The sequence below is a fragment of the Homo sapiens genome, chromosome 8 (genome assembly GCF_000001405.40).
Source record: "Homo sapiens chromosome 8, GRCh38.p14 Primary Assembly".
Taxonomy (NCBI): domain Eukaryota; kingdom Metazoa; phylum Chordata; class Mammalia; order Primates; family Hominidae; genus Homo; species Homo sapiens.
In genome coordinates, this window is record NC_000008.11 from 26,129,524 (window position 1) to 26,153,368 (window position 23,845).

Genomic DNA, 23,845 nt, shown 5'->3' on the forward strand with positions numbered 1-23,845 from the left:
ACACAGCCAGTTGGATGAGCTCTGTGTATGGCCATAGTCTAGCAAATGCAAACACAAACAGCGGTGCTTAGCTTCACTGATGACATAAGTTTAGCACTATGAACCAGAAGTAGCTTCAAAAACTACTGACTTTGCTCCCCAAGCCAGAGCATTGGCTTGATTACTATAATTACAGCAGGAGATAAAAATCAGTATAGTCTACCATATGATTTCATGTATATAATATTCTCAAAATGACAAAACTGTAGAGCTAGAAAACAGATTACCGGTTGTCCAAGGGTAGGGATGGTGAGGGGAGTGTGAGCAGGACCTTGAGGACAAGGCTTCCAGGGAGGCACTCTTGGGACCTCCACTGCTCTGCACCACCTCAAGCATCTGCTCCTGCATTCTAGCACGGTGCTCCTTGGCCATCCCAGCTGTAGGTTAAGCAGAACCAGGCGCATCGTGGGCTGCCACTCCAGAGAGCACAGGGCGTCCACATGGTGCTAATTCTGCAGGCTCACAGAGTTTAGAACTATGGGGCTATGGCAGCCACTTTCTAGATTTCAAAGGGTGCTATACACAGCTGGGGGTTCCAGGAAGAAACTTGCTGCAGGAGAGTAGCAGCCATGTAAAGTCCCCACTAGGGCAATGCCTAGCAGAGCTGTGGAGTGAGATGACCACTGAGGCCCCAGAATTGTAGAGCTCTCAGCGGGCAATGCCAGCCTGAGAGAGCTATTGGGTGGACTGAACCCAGTAAAGCCATTGGGGTGGGGCTGCCTCAGGCCTCGGGGGCCCAACTACTCCCTGAAGTGTGCCCACAATGTGGGTCATGGAGTCCAAGGAGATTATTCTGGCACTTCAAAATGTAGTGTTGTTTTCCCTCTTGGGTCTTGGACAAACTGGGGAGCAGTTACCCTTTACTTCTTGTCTATTTCTCCCTTTTGGGATGGGAACATCTATCCTATGCCTGTCCCGCCATTGTATTTTGAAAGTAGATAACTCATTTGATGTCACAGGCTCACAGCTAGAGGAAAATTTGCCTCAGGATGAGTGGTGCCTTGAGTCTCACCCACATGTGATTTAGATGAGACCATGGACTTTGGACTTGAGTTGATGCTGGAACACATTCATGTGTTGGAAACTTAATCCCCAATGCAACAGTGTTGAGAGGCGGGACCCTCAAGAGACGATGAAGTCATGAGGTCTCTGCCCTTATAAATGGACAATGTCCATGTGGCAAGAATGAGCTCATTATTTTAGGAGTGGCATCCTTGTGAAGAATGAATTAGGCCTTCCTCCTGAGCATGTTTTCTCTCTCTCTCACCATGTAATGCCTTCTACCATGTCGTGATGCAGCAAGAAGGCCCTCACCAGATGCAGACCCTCAATATTGGACTTCCCAGCCTCCAGAACTGTGAGCCAAATAAACTTCTCTTATCTGTAAATTACCCAGTCTGTGTTATTCTATTATAGCAGCACCAAATGAACTAAGAATGACATGACACTGAGCTTTCACTATGGTTTCTACTGGTCCTTGTTCAAGAACTTGAGTAGATTGACAGGGATGTGAGTGTATGTGTATGCTGTGCATGTGGGTTGTGTATGTACATGTATGGTGTATGTTTGTGTTGTGTGTGTGCATGATGTGTGTTTGTGTGCTCCTTTCTTGAGTCAGTGTAATTATTCCTGTCCCCTCTGTGGTCCACAGCTGTAAGAAAATACCCTCACACAGCATCGCCATGTTTTGTTTTTCTAGTCCTTCTCTCACGCAAGACTTCAATCTCCTTGGGGCCAATGATTGTGTTCATCTATGTGGGTCAGCTCCAAGCACAAAGCTAGAAAGCATTTGAGTGAAGGAATATTGACATAGGGAGGAAGTGAAAAGACTACATTTTCCAAGCATGACATTACATCCTTCGCACAGTGCAACAAGCAGACAAACTCCAAGGCTCCATGTTAAACACACACACACACACACACACACACCACACAATTGGTTTTAGCAACAAAATTTCAGCCCATTTAAAACCTTTGGTGTTATGTTCTCACTCATAAGTGGAAGTTGAACAATGAGAACACATGGACACAGGGAGGGGAACATCACACACTGGGGCCTGTTGGGAGGTGAGGGGCAAAGGGAAGGAGAGCATTAGGATAAATACCTAATGCATGTGGGGCTTAAAAACCTAGATGACAGCTTGATAGGTGCAGCAAACCACCATGGCACATGTATACCTATGTAATAAACCTGCATATTCAGCACATGTATCCCAGAACTTAAAGTAAAAAAAAAAAAAACAAAAATCTTGTGGTGTTATATGTTCTCAAGAAAGACTTTGGGGCTGATCTAAGGAAGTGTGAATATTAAACAGGCAGTTGGTTAAAAAACAATATCTGTAATACTTCCTGCCTTTTTATTCAGAAGAAATCAATATCTGAGTGCTCCCAGCCAGATTCAGGTCAGTCTGAAGCAAGAATGTGAAGTAAATACAGTGTGGTCCCAAATTCCCATTTATATGATGCTTAGGATTTGTGCTGGAATCAATCGTTTCCTTGAATGCTGAAAATATACCTTCAATTTTAGGTGATTGCCTAGAAACGATCTGATCTCAATTTGTTTGTTATGCCCGTGCCCATCATGAAAGCTAGAAAAAAATAGTATTAGGAAAATCCAACATTGCAGACAGGTGCAAACATCCCTGCCTGACTGCACTGACCAGACCTAACAGGCAGGTAGTGACCAAAGAGCCAACAGGTTCAGTGACTTGAGGATTCTTGTTTGAGGGAGGTGGGACTGGTCGTATAATGTTATAAAGGCAAGGCAATATTCACAGTCAGTCAACAGCACCTCACTTCCAAGGATATTCCCTCATGGCTGGTTATTTGTCTGTGACTATAGTAGATAAATGGCTCTCAGCTCCACTAAGCCCAATGCCCCCTTTCAATAATAAATGTTTTATATTACTCCCTTTCCTAATCTGAAATAAAATTAATAGCTTATTTATGCTACCTGCATATAATTTTTTTTTTTTTAGATGGAGTCTCACTCTGTCGCTCAGGCTGGAGTGTAGTGGCACGATCTCAGCTCGCTGCAACCTCCGCCTCCTGAGTTCAAGCAATTCTCCTGCCTCAGCCTCCCAAGTAGCTGGGATTACAGGCACCCACCACCAACATGCCCAGCTAATTTTTGTATTATTAGTAGAGATGGGGTTTCACCATATTGGCCAGGCTGGTCTCGAACTCCTGACCTCGAGATCCGCCTGCCTCAGCCTCCCAAAGTGCTGGGATTACAGGTGTGAGCCATCACGCCCGGCCCCTGCATATAATTGTTTAATCATAATGTCTTAATTGGGAATAAAAAGCAATGTAAAACATAAAAACATATAAACTCTTACAGTATGTAAAGATTTGAACACTCATTAGAAAACATATTAAAGTGTCAAGTGCTTATGGTCATGTTGAATGTGGCAGTTGTAAGTGCAGACCCATATATGCAAATTTCATTGATGATTTGAACACCTCATATGTGGCCTTGTCACTGGTGATGGTAATTTTCAATATGATGAACAATTCTTAGTAAAGTTTTTGACGAAACAAAGGACAAATACTCTATGATTCCACTTATTTGAGGGACCTGGAATAGGCAAGTCTGAAGAGACACAAAGTAGATTAGAAGTTAGTGGTGTCTGGGAGGGGGAGGACGGAGAGTTATTGCTTAATGGGTACAGAATTTCTGTTTGGGGTAATGAAAAAGTTTTGGAATAGATAATGGTGATGGTTGCACAACATTGCAAATTAATGCCACTGAATTGAAGTGGTTGAAATGGTAAATTTTTGGTTATATAGATCTTATCATATTTTTGAAATACCAAAAAAAAACCTTGGAAAACCTTTGTGTTTATACATAAGATGGAGTTAGTTCTAGCTCAGAGAATGAATAAGAAATGGTCTTTCACCTACTGGAATATCCAACAGGATGTTTGAAAGCACGCAAGACGATTTCCTGCGCTTCACGGGATATCTAGCATTGCTGGCCAACGCCGCTAAATGCCAGTAGGGCTACCCTTTATTGATAAAAATGCCCTACCAAGTTCCAGCCATCCCCAGGAGGGAAATATTGCCCATCCTGAGAACCACTGAGACACAGAAAGTGAGAGCCAGGTAGGTGTCTGGGTTCTGGTCAAGTGAACGCCTGCAGTCCTCGTGGGAATTAGAGTGCTCTGCAAGGAACCAGCAGAAATCTAGTTCTTTGAGGGATCAATGTGGAGGACGAGGAGATGGGGAGGAAGGATACAGCAATGTCGCATGAAAGCCGCTTCCAGTTCCCATCCCTGTTCCCTGGTTTCTTGGGCATCAAGACTCATTGCAGTCCCCTGCCAGAGGGTGAAGCTAGAGAGCCTTGCACATTTGCCAGTCCTGTCAGTTGGCTCAGGATTGAGGCAGGGCTGACTCAGCCCTTAGAGATGACACAGCAGTGCAGCTGACTATGACAATGACAATAACAGCTACTATTTATTAAATAATTGGCAAGGCTTTACTATTTTTTCATTTAATTTTAGCAACCAATTATAGGGTGAAAACGGGTTCACACAGATGCAAGGAGCCTGGTCAATCAAAAATCATTGACACCTGGCAGGGCACCACCGTCACAGAGATTCCCAACCAAGAAATGCAAATCTCCCGCTGTTGCTAAAGTCTCACTTGGCAGCTTTCCCAGTCCAGTGGCCACAGAGCTCCTTCTCCCCTCTGCATGGCTTGTGGGGATTTCAGCTGGGAGGCTGAGTGCAGTCACAGGGCAGTAGGTTTACCACTTCCCCATCAGCCACTGCCCTCCCTGCACCCTCTCCTCTTTCTTCCCACCACAAGGATGAGTTTGATAGAGTCGCATTCAACCCACCCCATGATGCCATCTCAAGGGTTTAAAGCCTGACCTAAAAAATAGGGACTTCTCACGAGATGCTTGGCAACCCCAGCTGCAGGGCCTGGGATCTCATACTGTGGCTGCCAGAATCAATGTGCTGACAGAGCTCCCCATCCACTGCATATAGGGCTTACTTCTTTTTGTTTGTGTTTCTTGAGATGCAGTTTTAGCCTGTCACCGAGGCTGGAGTGCAACGGCCCAAGTTCAGCTCACTGCAACCTCCGCTGCCTGAATTCAAGCGATTCTCCTGCCTCAGTCTCCTGAGTAGCTGGGATTACAGGCACATGCCACCATGCCTGGCTAATTTTTGTATTTTTTTTTTTTTTTTTTTTTTAGTAGAGATGGGTTTTACCATGTTGGTCAGGCTGGTCTCGAACTCCTGATCTCAGGTGATCCGCCCACCTTGACCTCCCAAAGTGTCGGGATTACAGGCGTGAGCCACTGAGCCCGGCCTGGCTTACTTCTTTTTCTATTGCTGAGGCTTTTTGCTGACAGCTGGCTTGGGATCTCAGGCACAGAAGCCGGACTCAATGTCCCTACTGTTACTCTTTCTACCCCTTTACAGGGTCCCTAAGTGCCCACCTGATGCCAGTTTCTTTGCCTCTCCACCACCCCAGAGGACCCTTTGATGTTGTCCCATACCTTTAACCCTTCTTCTGCCACACCCTCAACTCCTAGCCCTCATAGAACTCTACTGCCAACAGCACTGGCTGCTTCCTCAGTTATTTTCTTTCTGTGCATGAAATCTTCAGGAGCAGAACCAAGTCTTCTGTGTTCTTTAAGCCCTTGCCCATTCTCCACTGTAATTAATGCAATGATGGGTACATGACACACAATAATTAGGGCAATTGCCTTTCGTTCACACTTTCACAGCATCTCCTTTGATCCTCACCACAACCTCGTCAGGCAGGTATTATTGTTGTTCCTATTCCACAGAGGAGGAAATGTGAGACCTGAGTCACAACCTGGAATGAGGCAGAACCAGGTCTTGACTTCGGTCCTCTCACCCAAGCTGCAGTGCCCTCAGCAAGGGACCGGAGCACCTGCTGGGGAAGCCTCTGAGTGAGTCTCCTAACAAATCATCATATTGAAAAGCACAGTGTCCAAAGTACTTTAGCAGTTCCTTTAAAAAGTAACAAGATTTGTACTTTCTCCCAAAGTATTTAAATAACTTCACATCCATGAACAGTTGGAGGTATAGGATTTCAGTAAGACTCACAGAGCAGGTGTTATGTTTCCTATTTAACCCAGGGAGCAACGAAGAAGATCATTGCTCTCTAAGGGTCCCATTCTGCGTCTCTAGACAGGAAAGAATGAGAGAGGCCCTGCTAGGGGTGGCCCATACCCCTTCATGCCCCTGTGTAGTAGTTGGAGCCAAGGAACAATTACAAAAGGTACAAGAGGCTGGGCGTGGTGGCACACACCAGCAATCCCAGCACTTTGGGAGGCTAAGGTGGGAGGATCGCTTGAGCCCAGGAAATCGAGATCATCTTGGGCAATATAAGGAGACCCTGCCTCTACATGAAATTGAAAACTTAGCCAGCTGTGGTGGCGCTAGCCTGCAGTCCTGGCTACCCATTGCTTGAGCCCAGGAGGTTGAGGCTGCACAACCTCCTGGGCTCAAGTGATCACACCATTGCACTCCAGCCTGGGCAACAGAGTGAGACCCTGTGTCAAAAAAAAAAATAAAATAAAAATAAAAGATACAAGATACAGAGTTCAGAGGCAGATACACAGATCCAAATAAACAAAGTGGAATCAAAATAAAACAATGTAGACATTTATAGCTATAGGAATTCCTGGAGTCAGCAGCCAGGAGTTTGGGAGTCCAGTTCCTGGTGGGTGAGATTCAGTGTTCTTCAGGTCCAGGCCAACATGGCCATCCATACTGCTACCAGGGGCTTTCTGTGTCAAAATGCAGAGGCTGAACCACCAGGATCATCACAGAGAGCAATGCATAGAACCAAGTGGAAAGTCCAAAGCAAATCATGAGTCGAAACGGGCCCAGTGAACAGGAAAATCCAGATGTGGATTTGGCAACCAATGGAGCAAGCAGAGCCCTAGCAAGTGGAAGAGAAGTAGGGCTTGGAGTCATCACCAATACCCAGCTCCTGGGCAACGTTGTGTCTCATTTCTCTTCCTGTCCATAGGGTAAGGCTTTGTTAGCCAGGATTCAGGGGCCAGCACTGTGGATGAGAAGTTTTAGTAGCTGACTCCAGGAGGACAGAGAGCAAGTTCACACAACAAACAGGTGATGGCACCTGCAAAAGAGCACTAGCTTCAAAAATCAGTCAGATTCCTTTCTCTTCAGCCAGTTTTGAAGAGGGCAATTATCAAATGTCAACATTCTAATTGGTCTCCAACACTCCTGCTGTGGTCTGAATGTTGGTGTCCCAAAAAAATTCCTATGTTGGGACATAACCCCCAGTGTGAAGGTATAAATAGGTGGGGCTATCTACAGCTATACCAACCTGAATGCATCCGATCTCACCTGGCCTTGGAAGCTAAGCAAGATAAAGCCTGGTTAGTCCTTAGATGGAAGACTGCCTGGGAATACTGGGTGCTGTAGGCTTAAAAAGAAAAAAAGAAGTGAGGCCTTTGGAAAGTTTTTAGGTCATAAGAGCTATCCTCTAATAACTGGGATTAGTGACCGTATAAAAGGGGCAAAAGGGTGTGTTTTTGACCCTTTCACCATGTGAGGATGCAACAAGAGGCACCATCTTGAAGCAGAGGCGCTGAATCCGCTGGCACCTTGATCTTGGACTTCCCAGCCTCCAGAACCATGAGCAATAAATTTCTGTTATTAGGCTAGTCATGGTAGCTCACACCTGTAATCTCAGCACTTTGAGAGGCCAAGGCAGGAGGATCACTTAAGGCCAGGAGTTTGAGACCAGCCTGGGCAACATGGTGAAACCCTATCTCTACAAAAAATACCAAAAAAATTAGTTAGGTGTTGTAATGCCTGTAGTCCAAGCTACTCAGGAGCCTGAGGTGGGAGGATTGTTTGAGCCCAGGAGGTGAAGGTTGCAGTGAGCCAAGATCCTACCATTGCACTCCAGTTCGGGCAACAGAGTGAGACTCTGTCTCAAAAAAATGATAGTAAAATAAAAATACATTTTGGTTGTTTATAAATTATCTAGTCTAAGGTTTTTGTTTGTTTGTTTGTTTGTTTGTTTGTTTTTTGTTTTTTGTTTTGTTGTTGTTATAGCAGCCCAAATGGACTAAAGGCAACTCCACAATGAGGCATGATTACTCTTCCTTCCTGAAACCTTGGGATTATACGTTGCCACTATAGAAAAGAAGCACCTTTGTACAGCTTCTAGAAATTCAAGCTGGAAATGCTCCCAGAGAGAATAGTAGGGTCAACCTCATATCCCTGGTCAGGCTGACCCCCATCCCCCTCCCAGCTCAAACACAACCTGAGTTATGTTCAAAGGAGATCTCAAAGCAGGATCAAGCCTTTTATTACTTTCTTCCAGTATTTTTTATTCTTATTAAATACATGATATTATAAATAAACTAATAGGACTCTAAAGGAATGGAAAAATTTGTCCCACACTATCAACACTCCAAGTTGAACTGCTTTTTGTTGGTTCAAGTTCATTTTCGTTTCATTTCATTGGCATGTATCATTTTTATGTAGTTGAAGTCAATGTCATGTACAGTAAAATGTATTCTCTTTATCACTTACAATTAAATCCTAAGCACTTTTTTATGTTATATGGGGTCCTCACAATTGTTATTGGCTCTGTATATCTCACAAGAGGTTATACTGCATAATTCACCCAGTCACCCAGCAATCCTTTTAGATTGCTTTCCATTTTTCACTGTTGGACCTAATGTTACAGTGAACAGTTTAGTGCATTACTCAGATCACCACTCTTGAAAAGAGTCTGGGAGCCTAAAAGAAGGTTGAAGGTGAAGTACTGGCAATTTTTCAGGCACCTCTTTCCACAAGATGATATGCAATGGGCATGGGCTGTTTCTGGCCTAGTAGGGAGAGAGACGGGGGCGGCAAGAAAAATGGACGATGCTGGGTTTGTTCTACAGTTGACCTCAGACAGTGGTACTCATCTTTTTTAGAGAGAAGTGAATGGGCAGGAGTAGTTGTCTTTTTGAGGAAAGGTCTTACGAGGCCTGGGGCAAAGATGGGTCACTTCCTGGTCCAGGCGTGAAAACCACAGTAGCCAGGAGTCGGGGAAATACAAAAATGGCCCATAAGTAGCATTTTCATGCAGATGGGGCAGCAGAGGCAGAGTGAGGGGCAACCCGCTAACGGCTGAGGCCCCACGAGCAGGCTGGAGCAGGGCAGAAGGAGACTTGGTCCTTCCCACATGCAAGACACTGGCAGAGATCTCCCAGAACTGATGGAGGGATTCTGAGGCAAGGGCTTAGCTCCTCCAGTTATGTAGTTGACCCAGTGAGTGTGTGGACTATAGGCATCAATGTTAATGGGTTCTCATCTGTACCCACAAGCCAGACAGGCTGGAAAGAGTCAAGGGTTTGGATAGTTTTCCTTTTGGGTTATTTTCCTAGGATAGCTTCCCAGAAGCAGGATCACTGGGTTAAAGGGCACCAAAGCTTTTTTCCTGCGGAATTCCCATAGTCAGTTCTCAGGCCCAGCTTCCATGTTCTTCTTGTCTTCCCTGCCCTAGTACCAGGAGCTCAACCCCATTTTGGTTTTTATTTTGTTTTTTGTTTGTTTGCTTTGTGTTTCTTTGTTTGTTTTGTTTGTTTGTTTTTTGAGACGGAGTCTTGCTCTGTCACCAGGCCGGAGTGCAGTGGCGTGATCTTGGCTCACTGTAACCTCTGCCTCCAAGGTTCAAGTGATCCTCCTGCCTCAGCCTCCCGAGTAGCTGGGACTACAGGCATGCGCCACCACGCCCAGCTAATTTTTTGTATTTTTAATAGAGACAGGGTTTCGCCATGTTGGCCAGGATGGTCCCGATCTCTTGACCTTGTGATCCACCTGCCTCAGCCTCCCAAAGTGCTGGGATTACAGACGTGAGCCACTGTGCCTGGCCTGTTTCTTTGCTTTTGAGGCAGAGTCTCACTCTGTCACCCAGGCTGGAGTGCAGTGGAGCTATCTTGGCTCAGTACAACCTCCGCCTCCTGGGTTTGAACAATTCTCGTGCCTTAGCCTCCCAAATAGCTGGGATTACAGGCATGTGCCACAACGCCCGGCTAATTTTTTTGAATTTTTAGTAGAGACTGGGTTTCACCATGTTGGCCAGGCTGGTCTTGAACTCCTGACCTCAGGTGATCAGCCTGCTTCGGCCTCCCAAAGTGCTGGGATTAGGGGGGTGAGCCACCGCGTCTGACCTTGACCACTTTTATTTTCTCTTTAGTGCTGCCCCCTCCCTCTTCCCCATGGGGAGCTTCTCCATCCAAGACCACCTCTGACCCTCACCCTTGAAATATCTGCAGCAACTCTGTGTTATGAAAGTATTAGTAACAGAGTTGCATGTACCGCTAATACTACTGTGATTTTCTTTATTTTTAGCCTATGTGCATAAGGAAAGGAAATGCTAGATCTCTGAGAGAGGTTAATAAAAAGAAGATGTTGTTCCCCACCTCACTTCCCTTGCTGGTTATTAAGCCAGTCCCCCATTTTCTCACTTCTCCTAAAGACAAATTCTGAGTCCATTTCATTTTAAGTATTACTGCAAGGGCACAATACAGTTGTAACTGAGATGTTTAAAACAAGGGGAAAAGCACACAAACATGAAAGTCTTACTAAGTTTTGAGGGGCTCACTTCTGTTTTTGTTTCTGAGGTGAGGTCTTACTTTGTCATTCAGGCTGGATTGCAGTGGTACATTCACAGCTCACTGTGGCCTCAAACCCGCCTGGTTCAAGTGAACCTTCTGCCTCAGCCTCCTGAGTAGTTGGGACTACAGGTGCTGTATTAGTCTGTTCTCATGCTGCTAATAAAGACATCCCTGAGACCAGGTAATTTATAAAGGAAAGAGGTTTAATTGGCTCACAGTTTCACAAGGCTGGGGAGGACTCACAATCACAGCGGGAGGCAAGGAGCAAAGTCACATCTTACAATGTGCTAGGCAAGAGAAGCACTGAGCAAAAGGGGAAAAAGCCCCTTATAAAACTATCAGATCTCATGAGAACTCACTCACTGTCATGAGAACAGCAGCATGGTGGTAACCACCCCCATGAGTCAATTAACTCCCACCAGGTCCCTCCCACAACACGTGGGGATTATGGGAACTACAATTCAAGATGAGATTTGGGTGGGGACACAGCCAAACCATTTCAGGCACACACCACAATACCTGACTAATTTTTAAAATTTTTTGGTAGACACAAGATCCCGCTATGCTGCCCAGGCTGATCTCGAACTCCTGGGCTCAAGCAATACTTCCACCCCAGCATTCCAAAGTGCTAGGATTACAGGTGTGAGCCACTGTGCCTGGCAATCTTACTAAGTTTTGATAGTCACAAACCCTCGCTTATGATCCCTGATTCTTTCTCGAGATGGGTACTATCTAACTAACTGAGACATCAGATGCTGTTAACCTAGGGTCCATGTTGAAGATTCAAGGAGTCTATATTGGTCAGGGTCTGGCTTGGAAAACTAAACACCACCAGTTACGTTAACAGAAAGAATAAAGGAACTGATTAATTGGGTATTGGAGGACTGAAAGACAAATGAGAGATACCACTTCTATCAGAAATCATAACTGCAGGTTGGGTGTGGTGGCTCATGCCTGTGATCCCAGCACTTTGGGAGGCCTAAGTGGGTGGATTACTTGAGGTCAGGAGTTTGAGACCAGCCTGTCCAACATGGGGAAACCCTGTCTCTGCTAAAAAATACACAAATTAGCTAGGTGTGGTGGCACACGCCTCTAATCCCAGCTAAGGCACAGGAATCACTTGAACCTGGGAGGCAGAGGTTGCAGTGAGCTGAGATTGCACCACTCTGCTCCAGCCTGGGGGATAGAGTGAGACTCTGTCTCAAAAAAAAAAAAAAAAAAAAAAAAAGAGAGAGAGAGAAATAGAGAGAGTTTGAAAACTACAGCTCTTGCATTTAGCATCTATATGCAGACACAGGAAGTGCACTCAGCAGGCATTCCTACTAGACTGAGTATGCCCGGCTTTTGCATTAGTCAGAAGGAACCAGCTAATACCCACTCAGATGAGTTTTTAGAGAAGAGTGTTATGTATGGGGCTATTGATGTAGGTAGGATTTAGGGAACCCAGGGAGAGATACTATGGCACCTGGGTCCATTACCATCCATAGATTTGTATATAGTTTGGATATTAGTCCCCCCAAATCTCACATTGAAATCTAATCCCCAGTGTAGGAGATGGGGCCTGGTGGGAGATATTTGGGTTATGGGGGCAGATCCCTTATGGCTTGGTGTTGTCCTCACAATAGTGAGTTTCATAAGATCTGTCTTAAAGTGTGGCACCTCCCGCCACCCCTTGCTCCCTCTCTGGCCATGTGAGATGCCTGCTTCCCTTCACCTTCAGTAATGATTGGAAGCTTCCTGAGGCCTCCCCAGAAGCTGAGCAGATGCCAGCACCATGCTTCCTGTAACAGCCTACAGAACTGTGAACCTCTTCTTTATTAATTACTCAGCCTCAGGTGTTTCTTCATAGCAATGCAAGAATGGCCTAATACAGATGTCAAGAAGGAAAGGGAAGGAGTATCCAGAATCCAGAGATGATGGGTTTATTGAGTGGGTGCTTGACCACAGCTGAAGCCTTTGGAGAGGGATTCAGCCAATCTGAGAATGTGTTAGGGAGGCCAGGAGAGTAGATTCTCTTACCATGCTCTATTCAATTCCTTGCAAGTACCACCCAGTGGCCAAACCCAAGCAGAAGCCAGAGGCAAGGAATATACTGATGTTGCCCCAGTGGTCAGCTAGTAAATAAACATTTAACAACAAGCTCTGAGACATGTATGTGTGCATGCATGCTTACTTGTAGTATTTGCCAGTGTCCATAGTGTAAATATTCCTACCACAGTCACCAAACACGGAGTTAGGAGGAGATGCATACAATCAGTTCTTGCAGGCTCTAGTGCTCCACTGAAGTAAACAGATGGGGTCAGCCTCCCACAGCACAGACAGAGTAGAGAAGGATGGAGAGTGGATCTGGAAGGGCAAACAAAACAACCAGTGCTGCTGCAGCTGTCGACATCAGGCCAATGGTTCTGACATCTGGAGCAAGGACATCAGGGCCTCCACCTTCACCATCAACATATCTGTCATTTCCAAGGCTAATAGAGGATGGTTAAGGAAAATAAGGACTCAGCAGGTTAGTAATGTAGGAGAGAGAGGAGATGAGACAGGGAGAGAAAGAGAGACAGATGTCAATTCCATTCTAAGCTAAGGCTGGGAAAGACCTGCATTCTTCACAGATACCATGCTGTAAGCACAGAGAGGTGAAGGGTAGGGAGTTGTGTTTCTCCAACTTCAATTAACTGGTAGCTCAATAGTATCTTTCAGACAGCTAGGGGTGGATCCCATGGTGAGAGAAAGAGTGGCATGTTAGAAATGGTGTTCCAAGCAGAGCCAGGACATAATATACCATCTGGCACTGAGCCCAGGTCTCAGGAAGAGTGGCACACTAGAAATGGTGTCCCAGGGTGGGGCCATCTGGTACTGAGCTCCAGGTCTCAGAGGTCATAATATCCTCCTGTTACCTGCTGGCTTACAAGTGGCACGGAGCCATTAAACCAATGGTTCATGACCTCTTGTGGGCCCATGTTGGCTGAGCCATTGCTGAAGAGACTGGGATTCTGTGATGCTTAGGACCAGCTCTCTGGGTCCTAGTGCTGTTCTTCTGTATGTAGAAGCACACCCAAGTCTCTGGGTAAAAAGCATTGTGACATAAGAGCCCCACAGCCACCCCCTGCCCAGCAGCACAATCACGACTGATCTGCCTGCCATCACCATTCTCCACATCAATGTCGCAAGTTCTCCTTCCAAGACTGGAAAAACTGGCTCTGTAAATTCTTCTTATCGTATGGCAGCCTCCTCATCCTAGCCTCAAGGCGCAAGTTCATAGAGATTGGAGCACAGATAATCTAAGTGAGAAGCACTGAGCTATCCTCCAGATAACCTCCCCTTCCCAGGTCCCACCCCCAGCTTTCATGTGGTAATTAGGAAAACAGGTACCTGGATGGGGTGACAGGGGTTTGGGCTTGATGTCCCAGGCAGCAGCACCATGATCTTGCCACGCAAAACTACAGGTGTAGAAACTGGCCCAAACAGAGCCAGGTGCAAAAGACGACCCCTTAACCATTAAAATTTTACTTTTAATGGACAAAAGTAAAATGTCCCCCCCTCTCTCCCACCTACCGTAGCTTTAACAGTCTCCATTTTCCTCTCAGAATTATGCACTGCTGAACTGGTGATGGGTATTTCTATTGACAACTTCCCCGCCTTAAGATCCGAGGAGGTTTCTAAAGCATCTTTCTCTACTGTTTACATGAAACCAAGGACACTGGGCAGACCTCCCATCAGAGCATTGTTAAAGAGAATACAAGTGTCATAGCACCTATGAAAATATTCTGGGCTGGGCATGGTGGCTCATGTCCATAATCCCAGCACTGTGGGAGGCCAAAATGGGTGGATCACTTGAGGCCAGGAGTTCGAGATCAGCCTAGGCAACATGGCAAAACCCAATCTCTACTAAAAATACAAAAATTAGCCGGGCATGGTGGCTTGCCCCTGTAATCCCAAAGTGCTGGGATTACAGGTGTGAGCCACTGCACCCGGCCTATGGCAGTTATGTTTTATAAAGCCACTAAAACATGACTCTGCAAGTACTGAGCCATTGCTCCTAGATGGAAAAAAACAAAAACAAAAACCAAAAACAGCATTACATGCTTATAAACCTCTTTCTGGTCATATGTTAATCAACTGATCAGTATATAACCTTGCTTTATGTGTGTTTCTGTTCGGAGACACCTTATTTAATATATGTTGCTGATTCATTAACCTTGAACTCATGGTTAAAAGCACTGTAACTTATGCCTGAGTGAAGCTTATCTGACACATGTATTTTCTCAATAAGGTACAGCACAGCCTTCTTGTGCTTAGGAACACTAGACATCTCCTTAGTGCTATGCTTGGGGACCATCTGAAACAGTGAAATCACCAACAAAAGACACAAAAATGCAAAAAAAAATATGGAACTAAATAGACTACAAAAAGGGTCCTTGTTTACCGTGTGAGAGCTGAAACAAGAGGCAGATTATTGTCTTGGTCCACCACAGCTGGGAACATGGGTGTCAGGTTACCCAAATGTTTCACCACTCTGCACATATCTGAGTATGACCATGGAAGCACCATGAGTATTGACTGATTTCGAAGTTACAAATACATGTTAGTTAGTAGGTGAATTTGCAAGTACAGAATCCACAAATAATGAGGACCGACTGAACATAAAATAAGACAGTAAATAAAGCATTTAAAAAGAAAATAAAAATAAAATACACATTTAAGATATTCAGTGTTTTCAAAGGCAAATGCAAATTACTGTGATAGCATTAATCACCTATCAAATCATCAGAATAGATTAGAATGTTGGTAAGCATGCAAATATCCGCTAACTCTCTTGAGAGAAAAGTCATAGTGAATAACCAAAAGCCTTAAAAATGTTCAGATTCCTTGACCTACCGTTGGAAATCAAGGAATTCTAACCTAAATTAATAGGCAGAGATGTACCCCAATATTTAATTACAAGAATATTTATCTCACAAAATGTATAATAGCTAAAGAGAAATTATAATTAGCTTAAAAGTCCTGTAATAGAGAATTGGTTAACTAAATTATGATACCTCTAAAATGAAATACCATGCAGTCTTCAGGCAGAGCACGGTGGTTCACTTTGGGTGGCTGAGGCAGGCAGATCACTTGAGGCCAGGAGTTCGAGACCAGCCTGGCCAATATGGTGAAATCCTGACTCTATGAAAAATACAAAAATTAGCTGGATGTGGTGGCACATGCCTGTAGTCCCAGCTACTTGGGAGGCTAAGGCACAAGAAGTGCTTGAACCCAGGAGGCAGAGGTTGCAGTGAGCCGAGATTGCACCACTGCACTCCAGCCTGGACAACAGAGCAAGACTCTGTCTAAAAAAGAAAGAAAAGAGAAAGAAATATTATGCAGTCTTCAATCAGAATGTTGTAGAATGATATTAAACACTTGGCAAGTTGCTCACTCTAAAAGGCTAAGTTCACTTTTAAAAATTAGACCATAGTTTATAGATTTGATTCTATTTTTATGTGTAAAAAGGGGAAAAGGTAAGACTCCTAATTATTTAAATAATTGTGAAAAAAGACACGTAACTACTTTAAAGGTAAACTTCTTAACAAAATCATAGCAAATTAGGATGGAATACAAGTCTATTTAAAGAATTAATACTATAATGCCAATATCTTATTTTGATACTAAATCGACTATGTTAGTCAGCAAAAAGACAGATACCAGTATTATTTGAGTTCTCACCCATGAGACTGGATAAAGAAAAAAGTAACCAAGACATGATTATTCAAAGGAAATAAATATCATTACTTATATGTTATTTATTTGTGTACCTACAAAATCCAACTGAATCAATAAAAATCTTGTAGAAATAATTAGAAAGTTAGATTTCTGACAAAACTAAATACAATAAGCACACAGTATGAGAGCTGAAACAAGAAGGCAGATTGGAAATCTAGGAATTTTAGTCTAAATGGTCAATGATGTAACTCCAAGATTTAATTATACAAATAGTTATCTCAACAAAATTTATAATAGCCAAAGAGAAATCATAAGCAGCCAAAAAGTCCTATTCTAAAGAATTGGTTAACTAAATTGTGATACCTCTAAAATGAAACACTATGCAGTCTTCAATCGTAATGTTGTAGAATGATATTAAATGCCAGAAGGATGAAAAGATGTGCAGCATCCCTGGTCATTAAGGAAACGCAAATTAAATCTGCAATGGTATATGTGATGGTTAATACTGAGTGTCAACTTGATTGGATGGAAGGATGCAAAGTATTGATCCTGCGTGTGTCTGTGAGGGTCTTGCCAAAGGAGAATAACATTTGAGTCAGTGGTCTGGGAAAGACAGACCCACCCTTAATCTGGGTGGACACCACCTAATCAGCTGCCAGAATGGCCAGAATATGAAACAGGCAGAAAAACATGGAAAGACTACACTGGCCTAGCCTCCCAGCCTACATGTTTCTCCCACACCAGATGCTTCCTGCCCTCGAACATTGGACTCCAAGTTCCTCAGCTTTGGGCCTTGGACTGGTTTTCTTGCTCCTCAGTTTGCAGATGGCCTATTGAGAGACCTTGTGATCAACTGAATTAATACTCTTTAATAAACTCATATATATATATATATATCTCCTATTAGTTCTGTCCCTCTAGAGAACCCTGACTAATACAGTAGGCTAAACTATGACGTTTGGAAGGTAGGTGTGTTAAATGTATTTTCAACTTATCATATTTTCAACTTACAATGGATTTGTTGGGGTGTAACCCATTGAACCTTGAGGAGTATCTGTATATACATTTTTTCTACAGTTATCATAGAGCAATACAATTGTTTTATATTTAAGGTTAGCAGTGCATTAGATTCTTCTTATTTTTCTACATAACTTTTATAAAAATAGATGTTACGGCCATAGAAAATGCCTTTAAAACCTTGAGCCTTGGCCAGGTGCAGTGACTCACACCTGTAATCCCAGCAATTTGGGAGGCCAAGGCAGGTGGAACACTTGGGTCCAGGAGTTCAAGACCAACCTGGACAACATGGCAAAACCTTGTTTCTACAAAAAAAAAAAAAAAAAAAAAGAAATTATTCTGATATGGTGGCAAGTACCTGTACTTCTAGCTACTCAGGAGACCAAGGTGGGAGGATCACTTGAGTCCAGAGTCCAGGACGTCAAGTCTGCAGTGAGCCATGATTGCACCACTGCACTCCAGCCTGGGTGACAGAATGAGACCCTGTCTCAAAAAAAAAAAAAAAGATAGTCTTAATTTACTCTTAGCTATTTCTGCTGTTTCCAACTATTCCCAAATAGATAATGCTGGTAGAAACCTTTTCATGACTATAGTTTTTCTGGTCTGCTAGATTGCTTTTTGGATGATGCCTAGGAGAAGGATTTTGAGGCTGCAGGACATGAATGCTCTTATGCCTCTTGGCTATGTGCACAAACACTTACCAAAGGTTCAAGCACCTAGTAGGTGCTCAATAAATGCTTGTTGAATCCCAATAGGCATGCTGGTTTCCAAATGACCATGCTGACAGCAGTATTTGAGGTGTGTTTGTTTTCCTCTTCAACAACTGGATTGGTTTGGGCAGGTTGTTTAACATTTTTAAGCTTCAGTTTCCTCAGTTGTAAAAAGAGTAATCACAGTCTAATTTTATTGTGAACTTCCTATCCCTTCTCTCTGGAACATCAGGGAAATACCTTGGACAAACATGGCAGAGAAAGGTCCCTCTCTGCTTAGTCCCACTCAGACCCTGTCCAGTGCCCCTGGTTTTGCATTGCTGCCCACACAACATCCCCTTTGTCCTTCACCTTCATTTCCTGGCGTCATTGCTCTAAATCCTAATGGCAAAGTTCTCACAACACAGTCACTGCCTGCTTTGCCTCCATACAGCCAGAGTTGACATGGACTCATCTCTCTGTTCTGCTCTGTGGTAGATGAGGAGGGCTGGATGTTGCTCTGGATGGGTGGGATGGAATGGAAGCATATTCCAGTTCAGGGAGAACCTAATTGGATTGAGGGACCAGGACCTTCAAAGGACCTCTTCAACATGTAGAAGCCAGGACTCTATACCACTTGCTGCACTGCATTATCAAACATCTTCCTCTGCACTTACTAGCCTGAGAGTTTGTTCATGTGAATGATGCTCTTTTAATGGTTCCCATAAACCTTTTTTTATTTTATTAGAAAAATATATTTTTTAAATATATGTATATAGGATAAAAAGTCATCTAGTACTACCAGGTTTTTTTGTTTGTTTGTTTTTCATTTTGCTTTGTTTCTTTGAGACAGAGTCTCACTCTGTTGCCCAGGTTGGAGTGCAGTGGCGTGATCTCGGCTCACTGCAGCCTCCACCTCCCAGGTTCAAGCGATTCTCCTACCTCAGCCTCCCAAGTAGCTGGGATTACAGGCGCATGCCACCATGCCTGGCTAATTTTTGTATTTTTTGTAGAGATGGGGTTTTGCCATGTTGGCTAAGCTGATCTCGAGCTCCTGACCTCAGGTGATCTGCCTGTCTCAGCGTCCGAAAGTGCTGGAATTACAGGCATGAGCCACCACACCCAGCTGTACTACCAGGTTTTTAACAAAAAATGTCAACTATGTCCATCCTTCCTTATTCTCGACTGCTGCTTCTCTGAAGCAGCCGCTCTGAACTCTTTTAACCATTGTTTCCCTAACAGTTGCCTCTATATTTCTAAATAAGCTTTTAAGAATTATAGAATGTCTTGGATCTGGTTTTCAGCAAGGCCAGTATTATTTGTTAGGAAGAAAACAAATTTATTAGAGGATTTTAAGTAGCTTACAGTATTTTGGACATTCTGAAAAAAGAAAAAAAAAGATTTGAAGCTGAACTTCCAGAAATAATGCCCCAAGTCATGCCACATATTAGCCTGGCAGGGAAACTGCAGCTACTGATACCAAACCCACAACGCCAGGTCATCCTTAGATGGAGCCCAGAGGTATCTCAATCAATGTCTGTGTGGGAGCCCTATCAAGGTATATGTCTATGTAATACACAGGTAAACTCAAAGTCTTATGGCACAATGCCCTATAGCATCCCTTCAAATTACTTCTGCCACCTCCTGTGCCAGCCTCTCACCCAGTGCGTTTCCTTTTCTTTCTTTCTTTTTTCTTTTCTTGAGACAGGGTTTTGCTTTGTCACCCAGGCTGGAGTGCATTGGCACAATCACAGCTCACTGCAGCCTTGACCTCCCAGGCTCAAGTGATCCTCCCACCTCAGCCTCCCCTGTAGCAGGGATTACAGGCATGTGCCACGATGCCCAGCTAATTAAAACAAATTTTTTTGTACAGACAGGGATCTCACTATTTTGCACAGGCTGGACTCGAACTCCTGGGTTCAAGAAATCCTCCTGCCTCTGCCTCCCAAAGTGCTGGGATTACAGGCATGAGCCACCACACCCAGCCACATTTTCTTTTCTTGCTCACTTTTCCCAAGTGTGTATGTATATTGGTATTACCTAGCTGTAAGCTGAAATGTGACATGCAAAGAATTATTACCTTCTCACAAAGAGCTTTACAAGCCAGGGTGTGGCTTACATACTGTCTACTTTTAATGTATTAATCATTGTTATTTTAAATTGCTGGTCAGATAATGCCAACCTTATTATACCTAAGTCTGGTTCTGATGCTCATTCTGTATACTCAAACTGTGGTGGGGGGGGGGGGGGTTTGTTTGTTTGTTTTTTGTTTTGTTTTGCCTTTTTGTGTGCCTTGCAATTTTTTGTTGAAAGTGGACATGCTATACTGGGTTAAAAAAAAAAAAACCTGCTGTAAGTCAATCTTTAGTGGTATGGTGGTAAGGTGTGGAGGGAGGGGGAGCACTCTATGGTCCCATGAACAGGTCTCAGTCTTTTAGGAAGCTTGTACCTCTGGACTGTGCACTTCAAGTGTGCTTCTCACTTTTCCCCGCTTAGGAGGAACAGGATGGCTAGAGGGAGCTAGAGTTGGGTATTTCCCTTTCCCAGGTCACTTAGGCTCTGATGCAAGAGGTTCTCCTGAGAGCAGACCTTGTGAAGAACAGAGTGCTCTGACATATTTCACCATGGTTTCTTTTCTCTTCCCCTTCTGGAAGCATGAGGCGATTTTTTTTTTCCTTTGATCTTCACTCTGAGAACACCTTAGAGCCACCGGAGTTAAAACTCACAAAAGTGGGAGTGCTCCCCTCTAAGACTGGTCACCTCCCTGAAGGTTTTTACTCTCGACTTGTCCACTCTGAGTCTCCAGCAATTCGTTACTTACACTTCAGGTTTCTCTACTTGTTTCTGCAGAAGTTTCTGCTCATGGGTTTCCCCTGGAGTAAGCTGTGGTTCTCTGTACCTGCCTGTCTGTCTCTCCAAGCAATATGACCTGTGACCTTAATCCTCTGATGGACCCAAGAAGAGTTGCTGAATTGTAGTTTGTTCAGCTTTTTACTTGTTAGGACAGAGTGATGGCTTCCAAGCTCCTTATACGCTGGACTGGAAACGGGAGTCTTCTCCTAATGGTTTTGAATGTTCTAAAATATTTCTCTGCCAGGTGATGATGAATAAAGCTAAATAAACCCTAGGCAACCTGGTGGATTCATTTTATATGTGTTTACTATGCTTTCTTTGAGACTACCTGAAAGATTAGAAATAACATGGGCTTTGGACTTGGACAGACCTGGTTTGGAAACTTGATGTGTCTAATAACTCCCTGTGTGACTCTGGATATGTTATTTAATAATCTCTCTGAGCCTCAGTTTTCTAGTATGTCAAATGGAAATTGGATTATACTCCCTATGGAATTGCTATAGTTACTGATGAGTCTCTTCTACCCTTTTGTTTCCTTAAATTTCTTTTATGCTTTACTATTCTAGGTCACTTCTAGTTACCGTCTTTCCTGCTTCTTCTTTCTTCCATGTTAAGCCTTCAATGTCATTCTTGTCTGCATGTAAGGATATAATCCACAGGTCGATGCTTTAAATCATGTTCTTAGGCAAAATAAGCATCCAGGAAACTCTGGCATAAGCTTAGATCTGGTTGAAATTTACAAATTGGTGATTTCTCTGTATCCAACCCATTTTCTTTTCTGAATCACTGGAATAATGTGATGCTCCCTTTATTTTCCATTGGTACAAATTAAATGATGTTAAGTAGCATCTGGATTTCAATGTCCACAACAGTGTTGAGTGTATTTTTGAGGATGGAGTTGGGTTTGGTTATGCAAATCCCACAGCTTCTTTCCCCCCAAGGCTTGCTAAGTGAAGTGCTTAGACTCTTGGAGGTTCCTCATTAGGGAGACTCCAGGACACACCCAGATGAGTACATTTAGTTTGTTTCTAGCAAACATTCCTTGTTAGATGAGCTAAAAGGTCAACTATTTATTAAGGTGGAGCAACAATGAGGTGAGCCCTGGCTGAGTCATGGGCTGGGAGTTAGAACACTTTGAAGCTGGTAATGGTTAGGCTCAAAGTCAGTTGTATTTCTTCCTGTTGCTGTTCCAAAGGCATGAGGAGGAGATGAGAACCAACAGGAAAAACAGCAAATGATGGGGAAGAAGACAAAAGGTAAGGAGGAAAGAAAGACAAGAAGGAAACCTGAAAGTTACAGAGGACTCATTGTATATCAGGAACTGTCTTATGCATTTCACATTGTTCTCTCATTTTCTCCTTAAAGCCACCCTCTAGAGTAGCTATTACTACGTCTATTTCCGGGTGGAAGTAAATATGTATCAGAAAGATTGGTCAGGTGTGGTGGTTCATGCCTGTAATCCCAGCACTTTGGGAGGCCGAGGTAGGTGGATCCCTTGAGGTCAGGAGTTTGAGATCAACATGGCCAATGTAGTGAAACCCTGTCTCTACTAAAAATACAAAAAAAAATTAGCCAGGCATTGTGGCACATGCATGTAATCCCAGCTACTCAAGAGGCTGAGGCAGGAGACTCACTTGAACCCAGGAGTTGGAGGTTGCAGTGAGCTGAAATTTTACCACTGCCCTCTAGCCTGGGCAACAGAGTGAAACTCCATCTCAAAAAAAAAAAAAGAAAAGAAAGATTAAGAAATCACCACCTTCAGTCACTTAACAGGTAAGTAATGGAGCTAGGTCTGGGATTCAGGTCGTTGGAATCCAACCCCAAAACCTTCTTCCTTGCATTCTTCCTTATTTTCAGCCAAGCTGTTTGTCTAATATCTGCTTTGTGTCACATACTGTGTGATAGGTGCAGTGATATAATTTCGAAGATGCCACTCTCAACTCCCAATATGACATGTTAACAGTCTGGTAGGTGACTGTAACACTGAAATAGTTTCCACATGGAGCGTCGAGTGCCTTAGGTATGTATGAGGGACAATGGAGATTTTCAGGGAGGAGTAATCAGTGCTGGCTGGGGAAGTGGGTCTGCAAAGAGATGAATGTGGGGAGGTCTCCCAGGTGGAGGCAGCAGGATATGGAACTCATTAGGGCATAAATCATTATGCACATCATGATAGTGGGAACACAAGGAGTGAGAAGAGGAGCAGTCAGAGGGGAAGTTTGGAGTCTGACCATGGCGGGCCTTGTGTGCCAGACCAGTGAGTTTAAGCTTCATGATGAGGGTGATAAGGAAATGCCTTAACAGATGAATAACTTGATGAAAGCCATCATTTAGACAGCCTCCTCTGGCAGCATTGCAGAGCATGGGCTGGAAGGAATTGAGAGCCTATGAGTCCAGGTGATACCAGGGTAGGTCCCCAAATGCTGGTGGGACTTCAACCCCAGCCAGTGTCCAGGATTTTGACACCATCATGAGAAGAAAGTCAAAGATAAGTCAGAAAATAGTGAAAGTATGGAAATTTATTGCAAGTGAAAAGTACATACTCAAGAAAGGGGAGTGCAGGCATACTCAAGAGAGAGTCGCACATAAAGGAGTTTGGGACTGCTACCTTTATGGGTTTCTTTAACCAAGGTATGGAATAGTCATGAAAATTCCTGGAAAAAGATGGAGATTTCTTGGAACTGTGGTGCCATGCCACGCATTTTTACACCAAATATGCATGTTCCCAAAACTCTCCTGGCACTGGTGGGTGTGTAATTGAGTATGTTAATGAGCATATAATGAGGATCTAAGTGAAACCTAGGTCGAATCCAGCACCATGTTGGGTCCAGTTGGTCTTAGCCCGCTTGGTCCACACAGGTGTTTCAGGGTCTTAAGCCCATAGCCTCTAGTCATGTGAAACTGCTATCTG

At 43.9% G+C, this 23,845-nt stretch overlaps 1 long non-coding RNA gene and 1 pseudogene across 4 annotated transcripts in view, besides 2 other annotated features; one reads left to right on the plus strand and one right to left on the minus strand.

Annotated features, from left to right (window-relative positions):
• Positions 1-6,587: 6,587 nt before the first annotated feature.
• LOC105379336 (uncharacterized) overlaps positions 6,588-23,845 on the minus strand; it is a 73,813-nt gene continuing 56,555 nt past the window's right edge. For 2 of the 4 annotated variants that reach the window (XR_001745850.1, XR_001745853.1), the window contains exon 3: positions 6,588-7,473. This is a non-coding gene — a long non-coding RNA (uncharacterized LOC105379336). Of the gene's footprint in view, positions 7,474-12,845; positions 13,019-13,569; positions 13,684-23,845 lie in introns of those variants that run through there. The other 2 variants (XR_001745852.1, XR_001745851.1) reach the window with 2 other exon arrangements.
• RNA5SP258 (RNA, 5S ribosomal pseudogene 258) lies at positions 7,357-7,475 on the plus strand (annotated as a pseudogene).
• Positions 15,097-15,297: a silencer, noted in NCBI's record as "peak6960 fragment used in MPRA reporter construct". NCBI's record gives its function as "represses an SCP1 promoter by STARR-seq MPRAs in K562 erythroleukemia cells {active_cell/tissue: K562}" and the evidence as "EXISTENCE:reporter gene assay evidence [ECO:0000049][PMID:32103011]".
• Positions 21,947-22,555: an enhancer, noted in NCBI's record as "H3K27ac-H3K4me1 hESC enhancer chr8:26008986-26009594 (GRCh37/hg19 assembly coordinates)". NCBI's record gives its function as "activates a minimal SCP1, AML or CMV promoter by ChIP-STARR-seq in primed H9 embryonic stem cells {active_cell/tissue: H9 hESC(primed)}" and the evidence as "EXISTENCE:reporter gene assay evidence [ECO:0000049][PMID:30033119]".